We start from the raw sequence: 21,660 nt of genomic DNA on the forward strand, positions 1-21,660 counted from the left end.
TTTGGCATACATAAGAGAATTTTGGCCACAACTATCCATCTAATCCACTTCCATTCTGTGTGTTAAGTCTATATATTTAGTTGATGCAAAAAAAAAATTCAGTTGAAATTCTTTTTTTTTTTTTTTTTCCAAGACAGGGTCTTGCTCTACTGCCCAGGCTGGAGTGCAGTGGCACGATCTTGGCTCACTGTAACCATCACCCCCCAGGTTCAAGCAATTCTCGTGCTTCAGCCTCCTGAGTAGCTGGGATTACAGGCATGTACCACCACACCCAGCTAATTTTTTCTATTTTTAGTAGAGATGGGGTTTCACTATGTTGCCCAGGCTGGTCTTGAACTCTTGGCCCCAAGTGATCCACCCCCTTGGCCTCCCAAAGTGCTGGGATATAGGTGTGAGCCACCATACCTGGCCTCAGTTGAAATTCTTAGCACCAGAGATACATTAATATATATTGACTATATATACAGCTATATAGCTATGAATAACACAAAGATAGTATTTACTATTTACAGAGCACCTGCTTTGTGTCAGTAGTAATCACTATTCACCTCCACCTGAAAACATTGGCTCAGTGACCTCCAATCTAGTAAATGGGGAAGCCAGGTGAGGGCCAGACATTTCTGCTTCCGCCGCACCACACTTTCATTTGAGTTCTGTCCCTGCCATCAAGAATATCAACAATTCCACTTAATCTAGCATTGATCTATTTCCTATGCAAAATTTCATGGCACCGATGAAGACAGTGATTGGAATCGACGCAGATCTGATTAACTGGATGTTACTTCAGAATTGTGTCCAGATTGATGCCCCATCGCCTATGTGGACTGTGCATCTTTTGTTGAAAATCCTACATGGAATATGTGATGCACCATGTGGGGGCTGATTCAGAACCCTACATACAGCACACAAAGGGCCTGAAACTAGCATCTCTCAGAGAGATCTGAGCATCCCCACTCTGAGAGGAAGAACGGCTTCCAGAGTCATCTGGAAATGCCAAGAAATATGAGGCATTTTACAAAGTCAAATGTAAAATCGAAACCTTCACTGTACATATCCTATTTGACTTCTCAGTTCAACAATGCCCTCAAAAAGCATCAGGAGCTAGCTACTAACTTGGCTTTTGACCTGACTGTCCTTTGGGGGAAAAGCATGAGCTTGTCTTGATCTGCTTTGAAAATATTTTATCACAAATGTGTGTTAATAAGTGCCTAGAATAAACCAAATATACAATTCAAGTTGAGAATTGATTTGTGGTCCCTATTTAGGACTACTTCTGAAGGAGGAAGGGGGAAAAAGAAATTTACATGGGAAATACCATATGGTTTCTACTGGGACCTTTTATTAGCAAAATTTAATTAGCATAGTGCCTGGTACATAATAAGTGCTCTATAAATATTTGCTGAATAAATGCATAATTAATGAATGACAACATACGTCTACAATTAGCAAGTCATCAAGAAGCTGACATGAAGAATTTTTTCATAAAATCTCGGTGATGGGCACAATTTATTCTCTAACACTTCAGAGGATATTAGTAAGGAAAGCTTTAATATCAGATGGCCTTGGATTTCAAGTGCAGGCTCCACTATTTCTTGGCTGTGTGACAGTAGGTAAGTTATTAAACCTCTCTGAGCTTCAATTTCCTAATATATACAATGGAGCTATATTTACCTTGCAGCTTGATTTTGAAGATTTGCAATAATGTTTATAAAGAGCTTGTCACACACACAGTACTCAATAGATGGTGATTATTATGAAAGGGAATGCTGATTCTCATTAGCAAGTTAATGCTTTTCTCCCAGAAACAGGAAGGCTTTCCCAACACTGGCCAAGGTCAAGGCCACCATCAGCTAAGGTAGGGAACATTCTCGTTTTCACTTTCAAAGTCAAAGGAATGGCACAGATCTAAAGTAGAAAGGAACCAGCAGCACATGTTTTTAAATATTCATAAGGCCTGGAAATGTCTTACTCCTTTCGTTTTCTCTGCCATCTGCTTTTGTTTCTTTTCTTTTCATTCTTATGCCACAGCTGCAAATGAAAACAACCATACAATAACTCAAGTTAAATAAAAAAAAAATCAAAATAAAAACAATCTGAGGGATAAAAAGAGAAGATGAATTATAAAGTTTTCCCCTGAGCTCTCAAGGCAACAGAAGTAAGAATAATGCTTAATGTGAGTTAAACCTTCTGGAAACCAAAATCCATGTCCCATGTTTATAATAATGGTGAAAAAAGCAATCATCATTTACTAATGGCCCCTAGGTGCCACTTGACTAATAACTCTAATTGCTATAGCCACTTTTCAAAGTAGGTAAGTTATACCCATTTTACAGAAAGATATTGCAGATCACAGAGTTAAAACAGATTTTTAATGGTTACATAGTTAATAAGAGATAAGACTAAGATTTGAATCCAGGTCTGCCTGAATCCAAAACCTAGGCACTTTCCACACTATTGTCCACTCCAAAAATAGGAAGGGACACAAAAAAAAATAATTTGAGAAATATTTAGGGCAGCCCATTTGTACTAAACTGATTTTTTCCAGATAATTAAAATCTGTGATTATAGCTCTAATTAAAGTTAACTCAGATGATTGTATGTCGTATTTGTGAATGCGCAATTGGTCCTCCACATAATGGTAGGGTTTTCAGTATCCTACTTTTCATTTATTAACTGCATGCAAACTAGAGCTTTGCTGTCATGGCCTCTGGTCCACAGAAAGCTGCAATACAGCTTCTGGGGTTTCTGGACTCAATGACTGTGACCTGTGATACCAACAGCAGGGTCTGGGCTCAGCTCCATTTAACATGTCTTTGTCCAGAAGTCAACGAAGACTTCATCTTCAGGCGCCATGTAAAAAGCTCTTATGGCCTACACTGTTGTCCTGAAAACTCCTAGCAGCATGTACCTGAAGAAAAACTGGCAGCAGTGGTCCTCATGTGTTAATTACACTTGTGAAGTCTATTATGCATAGAAAGGGCACCTGCTGGCAGTGAAAATGACTAGAAACCGCCCTTCCTGTGCAGTGAGTAAATTGAGAGTTCATTTCTACAGGAGATAATAGTTTTCAGATTCCTTTTTGTGTATCCCCTGCATGGGGACATACTTAACATTTAAATCATCTGCAGAGTAGCAAACCTCCTTCAAATTTACATGTTTCAGGCTCCTAGCACTTTACTTAAAATGCTAGTTATCCCTGCTGGCTCTTACCACCAAGGATTAAACTCAATGGTGGTGAAAGTTACTGGGCATAATAGAATGAAGTTATTAGCATTGACTCAAATTTCATGACATTTGTAGTATCTGACCAAAGCAGTGGTAGTGGCTGAAGGTGGTCAAATCAACCCTTCATTATGGAAGCTGTGTTTTTTCTCTTGGAGTCTTTCATTTCATCATTCTTACATCTTACAGTTAACAAACAGACACCAATCCCCACCGGCCTGTAATCATCCTTTGGTCATATGTCAGAAAGTTCTTTCACGGAAACAAGAGACCAGGAGAAAGACTGCTATTACAGAAACAGAAACTTCCAAGATGGTGCCTCCTCTCAAAACTCACTCAGGCACCAGTAAATACAAAACTCAACCTTAATTTTCTGGAGTGGAAATTTAGGATGACAAGGACTTAGCAGCCTTCCTTGCCAAGTCTTCTCTTCTAAGTTAGACCTTCCAACATCAATGCCCTTGGTCAGGCTGGTAACAGTTTTTCAGAGTGCTAGAGTTAGAGAAGGTTGAAAAAATGATCTTGGATCAGCTTTCACAGGAAAATAAAACATCTAATGTATCTCCAAGAAAACATGAAAGGAGAAATGAATGGCAGCTGGGAAGAACAATTGGCTAGAAAAAACACTGATTTGTGAAAATAAAGCTTTTAATTATAAAAACCATACTTTTTCAGTGTAGAAATATTGGAAAATATGGAAAATAAAAAGCATGCAGAAATCCTCTCCCGCCTCCCCATCACGGGTCTCTGTTAAACATTTTGGTGTATTTCTTTCCAGATTTCTGCCTCTCTATATGTATACATATATACATCCGATTTTTTGTGTATTATGTGTCCATATAATTCTCTTAATAAAAATTTGATCATAGAGTATAATACATAACGTCTGTATCAGGAAAAGTTACTAAAGCTCTTGGGGCCTTGGTCTACCAATCATCTGCGAAATGGGGTTAATAGTATCTGCCTTGCAGGGTTGTTGGAAGAATTCAACGCCATCACAGATGTAAAGGAGATGGACCAGTGTTCAACAGTGGCAGCTATCTTCATCACTTATGTTACTGACAGAGCATTTTCCCCTCCACAGTTCCAGGAATGTAAGCTGCCTGTTTTAAACTAGCTAACAATTTAGCAACCAAAACTTTTCAAATAATAGAAAGCTGAAGTTGGGCCACACATGGTAGCTCATGCCTGTAATCCCAGTACTTTGGGAGGCTGAGGCAGGTGGATCACCTGAAGTCAGGAGTTAGAGACCAGCCTGGCCAACATGGCGAAACCCTGTCTCTACTAAAAATACAAAAATTAGCCAGGCATGGTGGTATGCACCTGTGATTCCAGCTACTAGGCAGGCAGAGGCAGGAGAATCGCTTGAACCCAGGAGGCTGAGGTTGCAGTGAGCCAAGATCGTGCCACTGCATTCCAGCCTGGGTGACAAAGCAAGACCTTGTCTCATAAAATAAAATAAGACAAATATTTAAAAAATAAAATTATACTACCACTTGGCAGAGGAACTATATTGATTTTTCCAGCTCTACCAATCCCTGCAGAAGCCCCGGGTATTCCTCCCTGAAGCACGGCATGAAAACCCACTGGTGAATCTCTTCCAGGGGGAACCGTGCGACAGGGTCTCATTCTGTCACCCAGACTGGAGGGCAGTGGCTCAATTGCGGCTCACTGTAGCCTTGACCTCCTGGGCTCAAGCAATCCTCCCACCTCAACCTCCTGCGTAGCTGGGACTACAATTGTGTGCCACTATGGCTGGGTTTTGTTTTTTTTTTTCTGTGGAGATGGCGATCTCACAATTTGCCCAGGCTGGTCTCAAACTCCTAGGCTCAAGTGATCCTCCTGCCTTGGCCTCCCAAAGTGCTGAGATTACAGGCATAAGCTACCGCATTTGACCTGAGGCTACCTTTTAGAGCACACATCTGGCGTGTGGTGTGTATGGGCGGGGGGTGTCTCTCCCTGTGGAAGACCCTGAGACATGTCTATGGGGAAAGGACCTATGTCTATGAAGGTGGGCGCGTCTGTGTGGGGTCTATTCCTGTGAGCGTACTGTGTGTCTGGGGGGAGAGGGGATGGCAGCAGGTTCTACATGCTAAGGGGGCTGGATGTCACTCCAGGACTCTGTCTCGGGTGATGTGTGTCTCCTTTCTACCTTCTCCTGCTTTTTCTCACTCTCTCTCTCCCTTCTCCTGCTTTTTCTCACTCTCTCTCTCCCTTCCATCTTCCTTGGGTGTGTGTTTTGTTCCTTGTCCTCCCCTCTAGTTCCCCTCATCTCCTTCCTCCTCTCTGAGTGTCAGTGTCTGCCTCTGCCCAGCCCTCAAGCTTTCATTTGAACAACAACAAACACTACTGGATAGTAAACAGGGTCCTTTTGGTCCTTTCCTTGGAGATATATGGCAGTGAGAAGAAACCAAGAGAGTTGGCTCAGAAGCTCAAGCACAGGGAGTTTAAGGAAAGGTTGAATCTGAGGAATGGGGCACCTAAGCACATGTGCAGGAGAGGCGGGAGGCAGCAGAAAGGGGTGTTTAATGATACCCAAGAAAACAGAGTTCTAGATGGGTCCCAGAGAACCCTCAGGAGACAGCACCCAGGCCCAGGTGAAGTCAATGGCTTTGGACAGACTGCTCTTCCTCCCTCAGGAATGGCAGGAGAGGAAGAGGCAGACAGGCAGCAATTAACCAGCACCAGCCTTGGGTGAGAAGGAGGGCAGTTGTGGGAACACAGACCCTATGTCCCCCTCTTCTTGCCAGATGTGACAATGCATCCCCATCCCTGAGCCTGTGCATGGTGGGGAGAGTGAGGGCTCAGGGGTGACTGCAGAGAAGGAGGGCAAGCCAAGGTTAGGCAGCACCACTCTCTAGCAGGTCCTCTCTGCAAAGGCTCTCAGACTTTCACCAGCAGTATCTTCCAGACAAGGAGCAGATAAGAAAATGGTAGGGGTGCCCAGGGTCAGTGGCAAGGCCAGGGAAGCAACAGCCTGCAGGGAACTGGTGAAAAACCCAGGAGCAGTTCTGGCCTGTCTATGGGCCTGTGTCTTCGACACCCAATTGTTTGAGTTCCTTCTGCTGGAAATTGACTCTCATCCCTGTCTTCCCAGCACTTAGTGCAGTGCCTAAGACATGGCCAGCATCGGGAAACATCTGCTCTACTGAAAAAGCTCACAACAACAGGCACGGTGGCTCACGTCTGTAATCGCAGCCCTTCGGGAGGCCGAGGTGGGTGGATCATGAGGTCAGGAGATCGAGACCATCCTGGCTAACAAGGGAAACTCCGTCTCTACTAAAATTACAAATAATTAGCCGAGTGTGATGGTACGCGCCTGTAATCCCAGCTACTCAGGAGGCTGAGGCAGGAGAATCGCTTGAACCTGGGAGGCAGAGGTTGCAGTGAGCCCAGATTGTGCCACTGCACTCCAGGCTGGGCAACAGAGCAAAACTCTGTCTCAAAAAAAAAAAAAAAAAAAGAGAGAGAGAGCGAGCGAGTGAGAGAGAGAGAGAGAGCAAGCTCACAAAGACTTGAAGCAAGGAGGCCAGCAGGAAACCAGAGGGGGCTGAGTGAGCTTCAGACGGTTAATGACACAGGTGTCACCCTGCTGGGTGGCTGATAGTGCTTTTCGGTCTATAAAGTGCATTAGCACATACGTTATTTTATTTCATCCTAGAAACAGTTTAAAGAACAGGTTGCAGTATTTTCAGCCCTCAACAGAGAAGAGATTCAGAGAGGCAAAGGCACTTGCTCTAAGCTACACAGCCAGGCAGTAATGGAGCAGAGACAGGGACTCAGGCGTCCTCCTCTTAGCCCCGTCCTATCCTTGTGTGTGCTACTCCATGGCCTCTCTGAGGGAGTAAATTAATCTCACTATAGATGGCAAAACAGTGCAAATGTGAGCTCAGTGGGAATAAGGGGAGGCCAGTAGTGTGGATTCTGAAGCCACTGAAGACAGCAGGGAATAAGATGGGAAGGAGATGTGGACATCTCAACAAACAGGTGATGAAGATCCCAGAGACAAGCAGATGACAGTGACATGGGAGGGAGGAAGGTTCCTAGGGGCTGTGCTAGAAGCCAGATGACAGGGTAGAGCTCACACCAGACCATGGCAGCGGGGACAGGAGTCTAACAATCTGGGAGCAGAAGGAGCAGCCTCACTAGGGCAGAGTCCAGCACTCCCTAGAGTCTCCAATGGAAGGAGAGAGGCTGGAGACCTGGGTACAGGGGAGGGGTCTGGAATGGGCCCAGGGGTTTGAAAACACTCCCTGAGGAACAGAGCAAACGCAAACATTTAATGTCACATGGTGAATCTGTTATAAGGGGTTTACATCCTTATCCTTTCCTATCTGCAAACATTACTTTATCTCCTACCCACTCAAGAAGGGATGAACACCAAAATCTAGACCAGCAGTACCTGGACGTCACCATTAACTGAAAATAGTTTCCAAAATAAACCAAAGTATGAAGAGACACAGTGAAAAAAATGTGGGGTTCAGCCATTGATGAATCAAGAAGAAATTCAAAATTAGCCAGGATTCTATACTCCACATGGTAGAAAACATATTGCCCCTTAATCTCATAAGAGGTGGGAGAAAGGCACAAATAAGATAACTCACCTTGATAAGAAAGACATATAATAAAGAGAGAATCAGGCCCATTCACTTACTGCTATGCATGAGAGAGGGCCACTGATTTTCACATGATGTCCCTGAGTTATGTCCTTGTTATCTCCATGGCCTCTTGGGAAGAGGGTGAGCCCAGCACGTTCCAATTAGGAGTGACTGTGGAATGCCTTCAAGCTCCTTGGACAATCTGGCTACTTGGGTGGACCTTTCCAGTGAGATGATTGCAAAATGGAATGGAGATCCCAGCAAAAGTATGACTGACCTGGACTCAATCACTCCGAACCAGTGGTCAGTGTCCCGTGTCATCTGTCCTTAAGCAACAGGGCTATGACCCTCAAATGGCTTCCCTTCTCCTGAAGCTCTCAATATCCGGCACGCAGTTAGTGCCTTTCCCTGTCTGTGTACCATGCTCCCTTACGGACTTCTGTTGACTTGAACTGTTTGGAGACAATGTCTTTAACTGCATTACACTAGAGAAAGAAATTATTCATGAGGAAAAGGGATCCAAATCGGTCACAAAGACAGTCTGTTTTGGTAATCTATTGAAGACAGATAGTGAGGACGATGATGTGTCTGCGGAAACATTTTCTGAGCTACCATGAGCCAGCTTTTCTACATGGGGTCCTTTCATATGTTATCTTGTTTCATCTTTGTATGATTATGTATTGAACAACTTCCTTTTACAGATGAGTAAACAAAGTCTTAAAGCCAAGTGACTTGCCCAAGATGGTAGGGCTGTCGCCAAAACCTTTGTTTCTTCCTTCTACTAAAGTCTGTTTCACTGAACAGTGAAATTCTCCTCAAAGAACTTCAGACAGTTTAGCGCTGCCTGGCTTGTGCTCCCAAACCACAGTGAGCACAAGTCTTAAGGAATGTGCCAGGGCATGGCTGAAACTTGAAGACCTTGGAGATCTCAATTGTTTTTGTCCCCAGTTTACAATTTGTCTTAGGAAAAAACAAACAAACAAACACGCAACCTTTTGGTGCATTGCTTCCCCCAAACTGAGAAATGTGAAAAGTTACTACCTATTCTCTTGTACTCTTCAGAGTGTCATGACATATAAGAAAACTGGAAATGAAAGGGCCGTGCAATCAGGTGGTCTTAAATCCATGCCACTTAGAAGTTAGTATTTCTATTATTATTATTATTGAGACAGAGTCTCACTCTGTTGCCCGGGATGGAGTGCAGTGGCACAATTATAGCTCACTATAGCCTCAACCTCTCTGGCTCAAATGATCCTACCAACTCAGCCTCCTGAGTAGCTGGGACTACAGATATGTGCCACCATGACTGGCTTTTTTTTTTTTTTTTTTTTTTGTACAGATGGATTCTCACTATTTTGTCCAGGCTGGATGAAGTTAATATTTTTAATGTAGAGTCACCAACTGCATTAACAAGTGACACACCTAACACGCCCAGTCAGATCAGGGCAAAGGAGAAGCAGAGGACAGGGCCAGCCACCTTACCAGCAGTAGTCCAGCAGATGCGGCGGCAGCACGGGGATGTACACGTGCTGCCAGTACATGGGGTAGAGCATCGCCGCAGACCCGTGGATGCAGGCAGTCAGCTGGAACAGAGCAAAGCAGAGATCAATGAACAAATCCAAGGGAGGAGACACCGCCATTTGATTTCAGCAATACAATTCTATAATTCTTCAATATGTTTACATGATAAGCTGAAAAACCTGGAGAAATCATTCTAAGTTAACTCAATCACCCTAATTCAAATTTAGTAAGAGCTTTCTTTTCAAAAAATCTTTTTTTCTGATGATAAAGCTAATATACGAAATAGAAAATTTTTAAAATGGTGAAAGGGATTAAAATAAATGCCACACCATCAGAAGATTTAACATTGTAGGTTATTACACACACAAGCACATATATTCCCCTTTTAAATACAATTAGGATGACTATACAGTATTCTTCTGTGTTTCTTAAAAGTGAACATTATTTGATGCCATTTTCCTTTAAATATTCTTAGAAAAAGATATCTCTTAATGATGCTTTAAAGGCACAAATCCAGAATATTCTTTAAATATTCTTAGAAAAAATATCTTTTAATGATACTCGATGAATTTCCCATGCTATTAATATATTTAGCTACTCTACTACCATTAAGTAATATCATCATACAGGTCAATAATTTGTATCTATAGTTCCTAAATGTAGAATTCAGAGACAAAGGTTATAAACATTTGAAGGCACTTAATAAATACATATCTCATAAGTATGTTAGTATAATGAATAGATGAAGGATGGAGGCTCTTTACACCCCCGACCCCCAGCCATACACCACGATTCTGGCCTCCCTGCCCCTCACCAGCACTACTCCTTGTAGTCAAGTTAGTAGCTTTAAAATTGTACCTATTTTACTTTTATTTTTATTCTGATCAGGACTAAGGTTGAACATTTTGTCATATGTTTCTTCACTATATTTATATAATAGACAAATGGTCTATTCATATTCTTAGCCCACTTTAAAAATGAGTATTAGTAATTTTTACTGGTTTATAAGCAATCACTGATGAAATGCAAAGAATACCCAGCCTTTGTAATGTTTTGAAAATAATTTATCCTTAATTTTCTTTGAATTTCTGGGCAAAGAGAAGGTCTAAATAATTACGTAGACAAATATTTTCTTCCATGATGGTTTCTACTGCTTTTATCCCAAGAAAGTCCTCCAAATTTTCCCCTAGCATTTAACTCTTCAGTCCATCTGGAATTACTTTAGGTTTAAGGACTGAGGTGAGAATTTATTTTTTCCACATAGGTAATCAATTGCTCTGGCACTGTTTACTGACTAATCCTTCCTCTCCACAGTCTTTTGACTTGCCCCTATTTTGTATTCCTTTTTTTTCTTGAGAGCTAGAGACATCATACAATCAGTATTTGATGCAATTAAAAATTTAGGAAACAAAGATACTACAAAGGGATACAATTGCTACAAAATTCAATATAGTGAAAAGAAAGGGAAAAAAAACAACTTTTGGAGATATAGGTATGAAGTGACAAAAGCCAACAACACATATTTCTTTCTGTCTTTTTTTCTTTAATGTTTCTTTGGTTTCAGGGAAGCCTGTTCCCATGAGGACTTTGCTTCTTTTGGAAGCTGTTAACTGGCCTTTGCTGACAGAAGAACATTTACGTGGCGAAAGAGTGACGTGCCAAGGCCCAGTTAAAAGAATCCCAGAGGTTAGTGTAACATGAACAGCTTTAAATTGGATATTCTGCTGATGTTTCACAGTTGTGAGAGCTGTGTGTTAAAGCCAGGGCTGCTACTCCCCACCCCCACCTGCCCTGACTCTTTCCTCCAGACCCTGTTCTTGAGCCAGGTCCATGCCATGAACTGGAACTGATTCAGCAGGCACCCAAGAACAGTTCCCAGTGACCCCGTCAAGGCTCGCAGGTTTAACCCATCCCTTCACATTCTATTTCCATAGGTACCCATATAAAGGAGGGTGATATAGATATATATATCTCACATACAAAAATACACATATATAAAACTAATCCCTTCAGGGCTTCTTAGAGATGAAAAGTCCTTGCTGGTGTTGAGTGAGTGGAGAATGAACCAACTCTGACCTGATTCCACCCTGAAGTCAGGCTGGAGGGTTCCACTGGCCCTGGGTCTCAGCTCTTTCTGCTCATCTTTAACTAGCTGCCAGAGCGCTCCTCCTCAAGTGCAGGTTCCGGCCCATCACTTCCTACTCAGAAGTCTTTGGGGACAAGCCTGGCCCGGATGGCTCCACCAGCCCACGGTCTAGCTTTACAGCAGCCATCTGTAGCCACACTCTGTACCATCTTCTCCAAGTCTGTCCTTGGAATACATCACTTAGATAGAGTCATGTACTCCTTTTCCTCCCATCCCTTTCCACCCGTCCCCCAAACTGGCCTGGATTTGTGCCTCTAGCAAACTCCTCCCTCAGGTCTCTGTGTAAGTACTTCCTCTTCAAAGTCTTCCCTGGTTCCCTGTGCATAGGCACCTATTATAATAATAATAATATTATTATTATTATTGAGACAGGGTCTCACTCTGTCACCCAGGCTGGAGTGCAGTGGCACGATCTCGGCTCACTACAACGTCTGCCTCCCAGGTTCAAGCAATTCTCCTGCCTCAGCCTTCTGAGTAGCTGTGACTACAGGTGTGTGCCACCATGCCCGGCTAATTTTTGTATATTTTGTAGAGACGGGGTTTCGCCATGTTGGCCAGGCTGGTCTCAAACTCCTGACCTCAAGTGACCCACCCACCTCGGCCTCCCAAAGTCTTGGGATTACAGGCGTGAGCCACTGCACCCAGCCCATAGGCACCCATTATTAACTGGACCATAACTGGCTGCATGTTTGTTTCCTGACTGTAAAGTACAGGAAGATCCTGTCCTCACCTCCATGTTCTCAGTGGCCCAGAACACACAACACACACACGTGCACTAGTTAATGGGATGTGTCCTGAATAAATAAAATATGATTTTTACTTAGAATATACTCACAGTACAAAGACAGTTTAGTAACTTGGCTTTTAACAGAAGTGTATCAACATTCCCATGAGTCTCACAGAGTAAGGTACATGACTCAAAGTCTAAAACAGTTTGGGTGCGGTGGCTCACGCCTGTGATCCCAGCTCTTTGGGAGGCTGAGGTGGGCGGATCACTTGAGATCAGGAGTTCAAGACCAGCCTGGCCAACATGGCAAAACCCCATCTCTACTAAAAATACAGAAAAATAGCCAGGCATGGTGGCACATGCCTGTAGTCCCAGCTACTCGGGAGGCTGAGGCAGGAGAATTGCTTGAACCCAGGAGGCAGAGGTTGCAGTGGGCTGAGATCACACCACTACACTCCAGCCTAGGCAACAGAGCAAGACTCTGTCCCCCCAAAAAAGAAAGAAAGGAAAAAATGTCTAAAACAAAAACAGCAAGCTTAGACACACAAGCATGGCACTTTTGGAAAACCAAGTCATTCATTCATCCATTCGCCCATTCATTCAATCATATGCCTACTCTCTAACTCCACAACATATAAATAAATAAATAAAAGCACTTCAAAATCTACAAGGTCCCATACAAATGAAGGTAACATCATCACATGAATTAATTTGTGATTCTCTTTGAAAAAGTCATTTAATAGAATGAACCTGGTTAAGACAGAACTTGATTATGTGACTCTTTTTAGGTTAAACTGGTTTGGGTCAAAAGCCTATTTAAACATAAAGTAGCAGAGATCTCATCTTCAGATAATGTTCTTTTCATGTCTTTTTAACCTCAAAAGCAAACCCACCAACCTCAATGCCAAGATTTTAAAATTACTTATCCTTCACAAAAAAACAAAAAATCAAGCTTTTAAGGTGTTTGCTCATTTCATTAGTGGGTTTTCTAAGGGCCAAATTTCTGCAATCGGGGTAAAATGCATTACTCATTTGATTAAGAAAACAAACAAACAAAACGGAATTATTTGGCTCTTTTCCAAAATACTAAATGACATAAACTATGTGCATCATTACTTAAGGACAGTCAGTTGATTACAAGACTTACTATATATCTATACTCAATCAGAAATAATGCACTCTGTTCTATAAAGTATCACTTGCCACTTATTTTTAAAATAACTCTAAACTCTGTTTCTAAAAATAAAAGTCCTAAAGGCCTATGTTCATTCCTTACAGAATACAAACTTTAAAAGTAATGAAAGTATGTAATTTGGAGTGTAGTCAACAAAGGGATATTGTAAATATATAATTGAAGTGCAAGTTGAAGGAAATGATTCTATCAAAATCTCACTCAGTGAGAGAATGGAAAGATAGTATGTGTAAAATTTGCCCAAAGTCATTAGTCACAATGAATATTCATCAGAAGCCAATTATCAATCTCATTTAATGACACCCCAAAAGATTTTGCCCTGAAGCAGCTGAATAGCCTAAGACTCCAGACAAAACTAGACAAATTATACAGCCAACAGCCAGTCTAGCCAGGACACAGACTGTACAGTAAACCACTGGTGGATTTTTGGATGCACTTTAGCAAATTCTGTCCTCAATTAAAGGTGCACAAGGTCATTTATATCTCAGAGCTTTCTCTATGGCTCCATTAGTTTTCTCTGAGGCAAAGGGAGACGAGGAGAAGGCAGTGGGAGTAGGACATGAACGGAGAGTGATCAATGACGGAGTGGGAAAAATCACAAGGACACATTTTTTTTTTCAGTCATTTCTCAGAGATAAAGCCCAGATTGTCACAATCTTAGATACCAATGCCTCCGCTGAATCCTAATAGCAGCTCTGCAACTTGACGTGAAATAAAAATAAGAATGCCCCCTCCAAAGACAAAACCACAATATGTGTAGGTACCATGTTGGGGTTTAGACCCTTGCAAAGTATTGTTTTAAAGGAAAGAGTGCGTGTGTGTTGATACACATATACACTCATCACCACATTTCACAGATTAGGAAACAGTTTCAGAGGTGAAATAACTTGCCCAAGGCCACATCGACAGTAAGTGACAGAACTGGGACTCACATCCAGGTCTGTCAGAATATAATGGCCACTGTGTTTCCACAATGCATAATAAACTCAAAAAGTATTCGAGTGTATACCCTGTGCCTTCCACAGTGTGGAGGACTCTGAAATAGATGAGGTAACAATACCTGCTGACATTGTTAAATGACACAGATATGCATTTGCCTTGCTGCTAGATGTCCAAATGTCTCGGACAAAATACCAATGACAGAAAATAATCATTTTTAAAACAAACACAGATCTGATCATTTCCTGGGGATTAGTTACATTTAACTAAGGTGTTGTAGTGTCTTTAACCCACAGGAAATTCTAGACAATGAAGTAATTATTATTAGTCAAAGAGAAAGGTTTACATTCCTTTTTGAGTACATACATCTGACAGGCTGGCTTGAAAGTGTTGGAAAGTCTTGCTTTTTGTCGTGTTCCCTTTCACATACTTGCTCCGAGTCTTCTGCTAACTTTTTGACCTGGGCAAGCCACTTCCTTTCCTAGGTCTCAATTTGTCCTGTATGTAAAATAAGAGACTAGGCTACAAGATTTCTGTGTTCCTTTCCAGCTTTGACAACTCACAATTCTAGAGGAATTGCTATCCTTTGAAGTGAAGAAGGCTCCTCCTCTACCCCAGTTTACCTTCTTCACCTGTACTAAGCCGAAGCAAATCAGGGTCTGTCTTTAAGCTGGTCTTGCTTTCTCAGCTCTGCAGCTCCAGGGCCCAGCTGGAATTCATGAGCTATGTAGGAACCACCACTTTTAGGTCACCCCATCTCCATCACCTGACCAGGGCACAGCTGTCTTCCTTACTTGGCCCCTGATACTCTGAAGAACTCAGATGTAGATGACCCCAGGTGACCAGGAACACGACGGCTATGGATTTGAGCTGTTCAAGGACCAAGACCACATCTGATTCCTCTTTTTTTTTTTTTGAGATGGAGTCTCGCTCTGTCACCCAGACTGGAGTGCAGTGGTGGGACCTCGGCTCACTGCAACCTCTGCCTCCCACGTTCAAGTGATTCTCCTGCCTCAGCCTCCTGAGTAGCTGGGATTACAGGCACCTGCTACCACGCCCAATTAATGTTTGTATTTTTAGCAAAGACAGGGTTTCGCCAAATTGGCCAGGCTGGTCTCGAACTCCCGAGCTCAGGTGATCCGCCCTCCTCGGCCTCCCAAATATTCCTCTTCTTACCTCCTACTATGTTTGACACAGAGTCGGTGCTGAGTAAATGTTTGGGGAATGGAGAATGCCTCCAGATTCACACCATGAGGAAGAATAGGCAAGATTACCAGACTTTTTTTTTTTTTTTTTTTTGAGACAGAGTTTCACTCTTGTTGCCCAGGCTGGAGTGCAATGGCGCAATCTCAGCTCACCACAACCTCTGCCTGCCAGGTTCAACTCTCCTGCCTCAGCCTCCCGAGTCGCTGGGATTACAGGCATGCGCCACCATGCCCAGCTAATTTTGTATTTTTAATAGAGATGGGGTTTCTCCATGTTGGTCAGGCTGGTCTCGAACTCCTGACCTCATGTGATCCGCCCGCCTCCAAAAGTGCCTGGATTATAGGCGTGAGCCACCGCGCCCGGCCCCAGACATTTAACAAATTGCAATTGCCTAATAGATCACAACTAGAGGCTGTACAGTTTTGAAAAAGTATTAAGATTCCAAGCTCTAAAAGCTGGCAGAGGAAGACAATCAGATGGTCACAGTCATTCTTTCCATCCTAGAATTCAGAATGTTAAATAATCAAACCAACACCTGCTTCACAGGGTTAGAGGCATTTGGATTTCCCCTCTGAACATAAACGCAAAGAAATGAATAAAATGATAAATACAGAAAGGATACCAGATTACTGACTTTAAAGGGAGGTCATTCTTAAGTTTGTTCATTTTGACCAGGGATCATCTTATTTAGAGCAGCTGTAGAAAATGCTGTGTGTCTTGGGAAGTTGTTCCCTTTCTCAGTTTGAGAACTTGATTCTTTTATTTAATTATAAACCATCTTCGTAGTATCATGGTGCCATGATTCAAACACTGCTGTGGTTTTTGTTTTGATTATAATTTATTCTTAAATGACAAATCCTCTCTAAAATCATCAAAACGTTTTAAGCAAAATCTGCAGGGACTCTGTGAAGTCAACCTATTTCAACCCTTCCATGGCTGTGAGAAAAACCTTTAATTATAAAGGGTTCAGCTATGTTCAAATTGTAGTTACTGTATTTAGTGGGGGATGAATAGGCTTTCAAGAAACTATCAAAGATACTCTAGCAGAAAGGCAACTTAGAACATCTCAGAAATCAAAGAACCTTCAGCTACTCTAGACAGATGCCGGACATGTGAGTAGAAGGAAAGAGCAAACAGTGTCTTGCTTTTCTTAGCAGCTGAAATGCAGGGCTGCTTTTCAGGGGGTAATGGCAACAATCGTTCTTCCAGTAGTTTCATTTTCAGCTGGGTGGAACTCATCTTACTTTTTTCCTTCTCCATTATCTTTTGGGAAAGGGAAGGAATAAACACACACACACACACACACACGCACACACACACACACACGCGCACACACACACACACACACACCAAAAAAACCACCCAACAAGGAGTGAAGGAAAGCGTCTTCCCCCAACAGCAATATCACCTAGTCAGGAGGAAGCTTACACAGGCAATCAACCGCCTGCTTAATCACTTCTCTCCATTTTTTTTTAAAGCTATCTACTAGAGTAATTAGAGTAAGTTATTAACCGGGGCAACAAGCTTTCATGCCAAGATTTGACACTTTAAAACATCAAAGCAACTAAAACTGCCAGAGAAAAGCTTTAGCTACCAAAGCAGAAGCAGAAAACCATGGTGTGGTAAACCACACTGTAAATAAGCCCACAGCACCATGAGTGAGGAAAGAGCTTTCTTTCCTCTTTAAGATGAAAAAGAAAAAGGCAGGGTTACATGGGGGACTGATAACAATGTATTCAATACAGGGACAGCCAATGTGCCACCACTCCTCCAAGCCATATCTGTGACAGACATTACTAACTGATCACAGAGTCGGGATGTGGCCCACAATCCTTCCTCACATGCACTTTTGTTGTTGTTGTTATACAGAATCTCGTTCTGCCACCCAGGCTGGCGTTGCAGTGGTGCAATCTTGGCTCACTGCAACCTCTGCCTCCTGGGTTCAAGTGATTCTCCTGCCTCAGCCTCCCGAGTAGCTGGGTGAATGCCACCACGCCCAGCTAATTTTTGTGTTTTTAGTAGAGACGGAGTTTCACCATGTTGGCCAGGCTGGTCTCGATCTCCTGACCTCACACTTGAGGTCACCTCAGCCTCCCACAGTGCTGAGATTACAGGTGTGAGCTACCATGCCCAGCCTCACATGCACCTTTGATCAATGGATCAAAGTGGGCACTCAAGAAGAAATCGATTTGCCACCTCAAATCTAGTCTAAGTGGATATTTCTATTTCTTTGACAATATAAATCATAATTTATGTTTAGCTAATGGATCTATACTATTGCTTTAATAAAGAATCATACTTTTAAAAAGAAAGCATAACTGAACATGGAATCGTGAGTACCTATCTGTCAGGTACCCACACATGAAGAAACTAAGGAACCTTCAGGTGGTGAGTTACTAAATTTGCATGAGTAGTAAAAAAAAAAAAAAAAAAAAAAAAAAAGAAAGAAAGAAAAAAAAAGAAAAAGAAAAAGAAAAAGGACTGTTCCCTGTAGTTTTCTTTGGCAAATTTAACCTTAGAAAGTGACTGTAGGCCGCAGGTGGTAGCTCATGCCTGTAATACCAGCACTTACGGAGGCCAAGGCAGGCGGATCACTTCAGGTCAGGAGTTCGAGACCAGCCTGGCCAACAGAGTGAAACCTTTTCTCTACCAAAAAATACAAAAATTAGCTGGGTGTGGTGACAGGCGCCTGTAGTCCCAGCTACTTGGGAGGCTGAGGCACGAGTATCAGTTGAACCCGAGAGGCAGATGTTGCAGTGAGCAAAGATAACCCCACTATACTCCAGCCTGGGCAACAGAATGAGCCTCCGTATCCCCCCAACCCCCTACCAAAAAAAAAAAAAAAAAAACCTCAGAAGAAAGATTCAAGCTATAAAACAGCCACACTCACGCCTGTAATCCCCAGCACTTTGGGAGGCTGAGGTGGGCAGATCACCTGAGGTTGGGAGTTCAAGACTAGCCTGACCAACATGGAAAAACCCCGTCTCTACTAAAAATACAAAATTAGCCAGGCATGGTGCCACATGCCTGTAATCTCGGCTACTCGGGAGGCTGAGGCAGAAGAATCACTTGAACCCGGGAGGTAGAGGTTGTGGTGAGCCAAGATCTCGCCACTGCACTCTAGCCTGGGCAACAAGAACGAAACTCCATCTCAAAAAAAAAAAAAAAAAAAACAAAAACAAAAAACAGCCACCACCATGACCACTGAATTCACATTACTATCTGCCAATCACTGAGAACAGTGCTTCACATATATTTAACTCACTTAATTTTCACAACAGCCCTATAAGGTAGGTAGCATTATTGTCCCCATTTTATAGATGAGGAAACTGAGGCTCCTGGGTGTTGAGGAACCTGTATAAGGTCACAGCTATTGGCAGAACTAGGATATGAACCTAGGGAAGTTGAGCTCTGGATTCTGTGCTCTTAGCCCCCATGAAACTGCTTCTGTGCTCTGATCTATATTAATCCCACAATTACTGAGTATCCACTATGTGCACACACCATGCCCTCAAGCAATTTAAAATAGAGAGAGAAAGATCAAAATGCAAACAATCAACTTCCACACAAAAGCATTATGAAAGAGATGCTATAATAGAGGTTCAAGTGTGTTAGCATATAAAGAAAGAATCATTAATTCTGCCTGGGGCAAGAATCAGGCCTGCTTCACAGAGACAGAGACATCAGAGCCCTGAAGGTTGAAGACAGAGAAGCTGCTAGTCCTCCTCCCAGCTACAGGCCAGTCAGGGGGTAAGGGTGGGTCAAGAGAACACAGCAGCTTCTTAGGCCACTCAAGCTCTGTGAGGACTTGAATGAGAAATGACCATTTATTCAATGACTAAATGACTAGGGAGAAGTGGTCCGTACGCAAAACCTCTTGGGAGTTGCCGTGACTATTCTGTTTTGCTTGGATTCACTCCCTATCTGCTATTACGACGATCCTAATATTCAGAAGTCTCCTAGGATCTTTATCGCTCTCCTTGTTTCTGAGAGTCAAATCGGGGTTTATGGCCTGCAAGGATGAGATTCAGCCTCAGGTAACATTTACAGAGTGAATAGTGCGCCCAGTGCTGGGCTCTGTGCTTTCATATCTGGATGGTCACCGGATCTTTTTAACCACCTTGAGGTAGGTGTGAATACTATCCCCATTTTCACAGAAGAGGACAGAGGGACTCCAAGAGGTCAAGTAACTTGCCCAAGGCCATATGGCTAGAAAGTGGCACATGGTGGATTAAGTACAAGGCGGAGGCAGAAGTGGAACAAAGCCATCCTGACTTGCAGTCTGATACTCTCTCCTCCACTCCTGCTGTCTTTTTTCTTGGGAAAAGATACCTCCAGCAGGGCTGTCTGACACATCTAGCTGGTAGACTCTGAAGCTATCAAGGTAGCAGAAAAGAACAAATGTGAATGTGCTCCGTGTCTGCACTTACCGATGATTTCATGGTCTAACCTCATATCACACTACCTTGGTTCACCAAAGTGACCACACTTTCAGTCTGCAGAAACAACACAGGAAATTATGAGTCCTTGCTCCCAGTGTCATAAGCACCTAGTAGGCGCTCAAAATTTCTTTTATGACAGCCATGTCTGCCAAAGTGGGTGCAGGGCTTTTTAAGTAGATTAAGATGTCAATGACTTAAATATTATCCTTTAAAATTCTGATTCTTTAAAATTCTGATTCATAAGAGTCATATGAGAAGCTATCAGTCCTGCAATCTAAGGAAGACACAATTTATTTCATGACTTGACCGCATTACTAAAATAATAAAATTTTCTGCCATGGCAGAAATCGGATGAATTTAATGAAATGGCAAAAAAAAAAAAAAAAAAAGAAACATCACCTGTTTACACACATGCACCCCAAATTACACCGGTGGACTGCACTGGTATTCCGTAAAATTACTGAGAGCCTGAACAGATTATACTCAGCTATGGTCCTTTTCTAGACTAGCCAAGGCCCCAGTCAAAGCTCTCCCAAAGAGAATATGGAAACAAAGAGCTTTTTAAGTGCCAGTCGGTACGCATAAACATCTTCTAAATGAACTTGATCAGTCTCTATTATGTCGTCTCAACATGAAAATGAGTCTAACGATGCAAAATAACAGCCACCAAAGAATAAATATTGTTTTTGTCTTAGAGAACTGTCTATTCACTGGTTCCAAATCAGGCTGTGTATCAATCATCCGGGGAACCTCAAAAAATACACATTCCATGGTTCCATACTAGACTTTGTGAACCAGAATGTCTGGAGATGGTGCCCAAGAACCTGCATTTTAACAAGTTTTCTGGGTGGTTCTAACATAATGCTAATCCATGGATCAGAACTGGGGAATCACTGACAATCTGAATCCTGTGCCTCATCCAAAGTGCTTGATGTTTGTTGAAGCAATGGGAGAAGAGGCAGGAGAGGAAGGTAAGAGCTAGCAGAGAGACCATGGCTGGTTGAAGTCACATCAAAGTGTCACAAATGAACCTGTTGATACTCTGTATTACAGAGTCTCTATGGTATCTCAAGGTTCTTCATTCCAATTAGAGTTTAACATGAATAAGAGAAAACCAATTCACACATAATTAAATGAAGAATATAGTTCAACAAGCAATTAATTATCTATACATTTTAAAGCCAGAGAATGCCCGTATAAGTAAAACCCACCAATCTTCTCTCCTACTTTCTGTCCATGGAAGTTCCTTTATTTTTTAACAGTTTTAAATATTCTCTGGACCACAATAAAATTGTATATAACGGAGATTAGAGAGGCTGTGCTGCTTGGAAGTTTGGCTGCAAAGCCTCTATTCCATGCCACTTCATTATAATTTCTTAAGGATTTCCCTCTTCACCAAAAGGATTAGTTTTCTTCTCACTTCTTTGAATACTCTTCTCAGGTTGTTAGTGTGAACTAGGTTACTCTCTCTCCTTTTTAACATATAAAAGATAAACACAATGTTCGATTTATTTTATTTTTTAAATAGAACACTAAATTTAGTCTTAGAATTCTCTGTTTGGTAAGTTTCCAGTTACAAGGTCTTGGCTTCCCTTGAGCACAGTTTGAAACAAAATAATGCAGTTTGTTCCTACGGCTGGAACATGCAGAGTGGAGTGTGCAGGCAA

General features: G+C 42.3%; 1 protein-coding gene across 42 annotated transcripts in view; it reads right to left on the reverse strand.

Moving 5' to 3' along the window:
* DENND1A (DENN domain containing 1A) overlaps positions 1 to 21,660 on the reverse strand; it is a 550,469-nt gene that overhangs the window by 241,416 nt on the left and 287,393 nt on the right. For 41 of the 42 annotated variants that reach the window (XR_007061334.1, XR_007061335.1, NR_148208.2 and 38 more), the window contains one exon: positions 9,303 to 9,403. Coding sequence is in view for 39 of the 42 variants with exons in the window: in NM_001352965.2 (NP_001339894.1) it covers positions 9,303 to 9,403 (101 nt within the window). In the remaining 3 variants the exon portion in view is untranslated. Of the gene's footprint in view, positions 1 to 9,302; positions 9,404 to 17,649; positions 17,966 to 21,660 lie in introns of those variants that run through there. The other variant, XM_024447623.2, reaches the window with a different exon arrangement.

The sequence above is a fragment of the Homo sapiens genome, chromosome 9 (genome assembly GCF_000001405.40).
Source record: "Homo sapiens chromosome 9, GRCh38.p14 Primary Assembly".
In the NCBI taxonomy this organism is placed as follows: domain Eukaryota; kingdom Metazoa; phylum Chordata; class Mammalia; order Primates; family Hominidae; genus Homo; species Homo sapiens.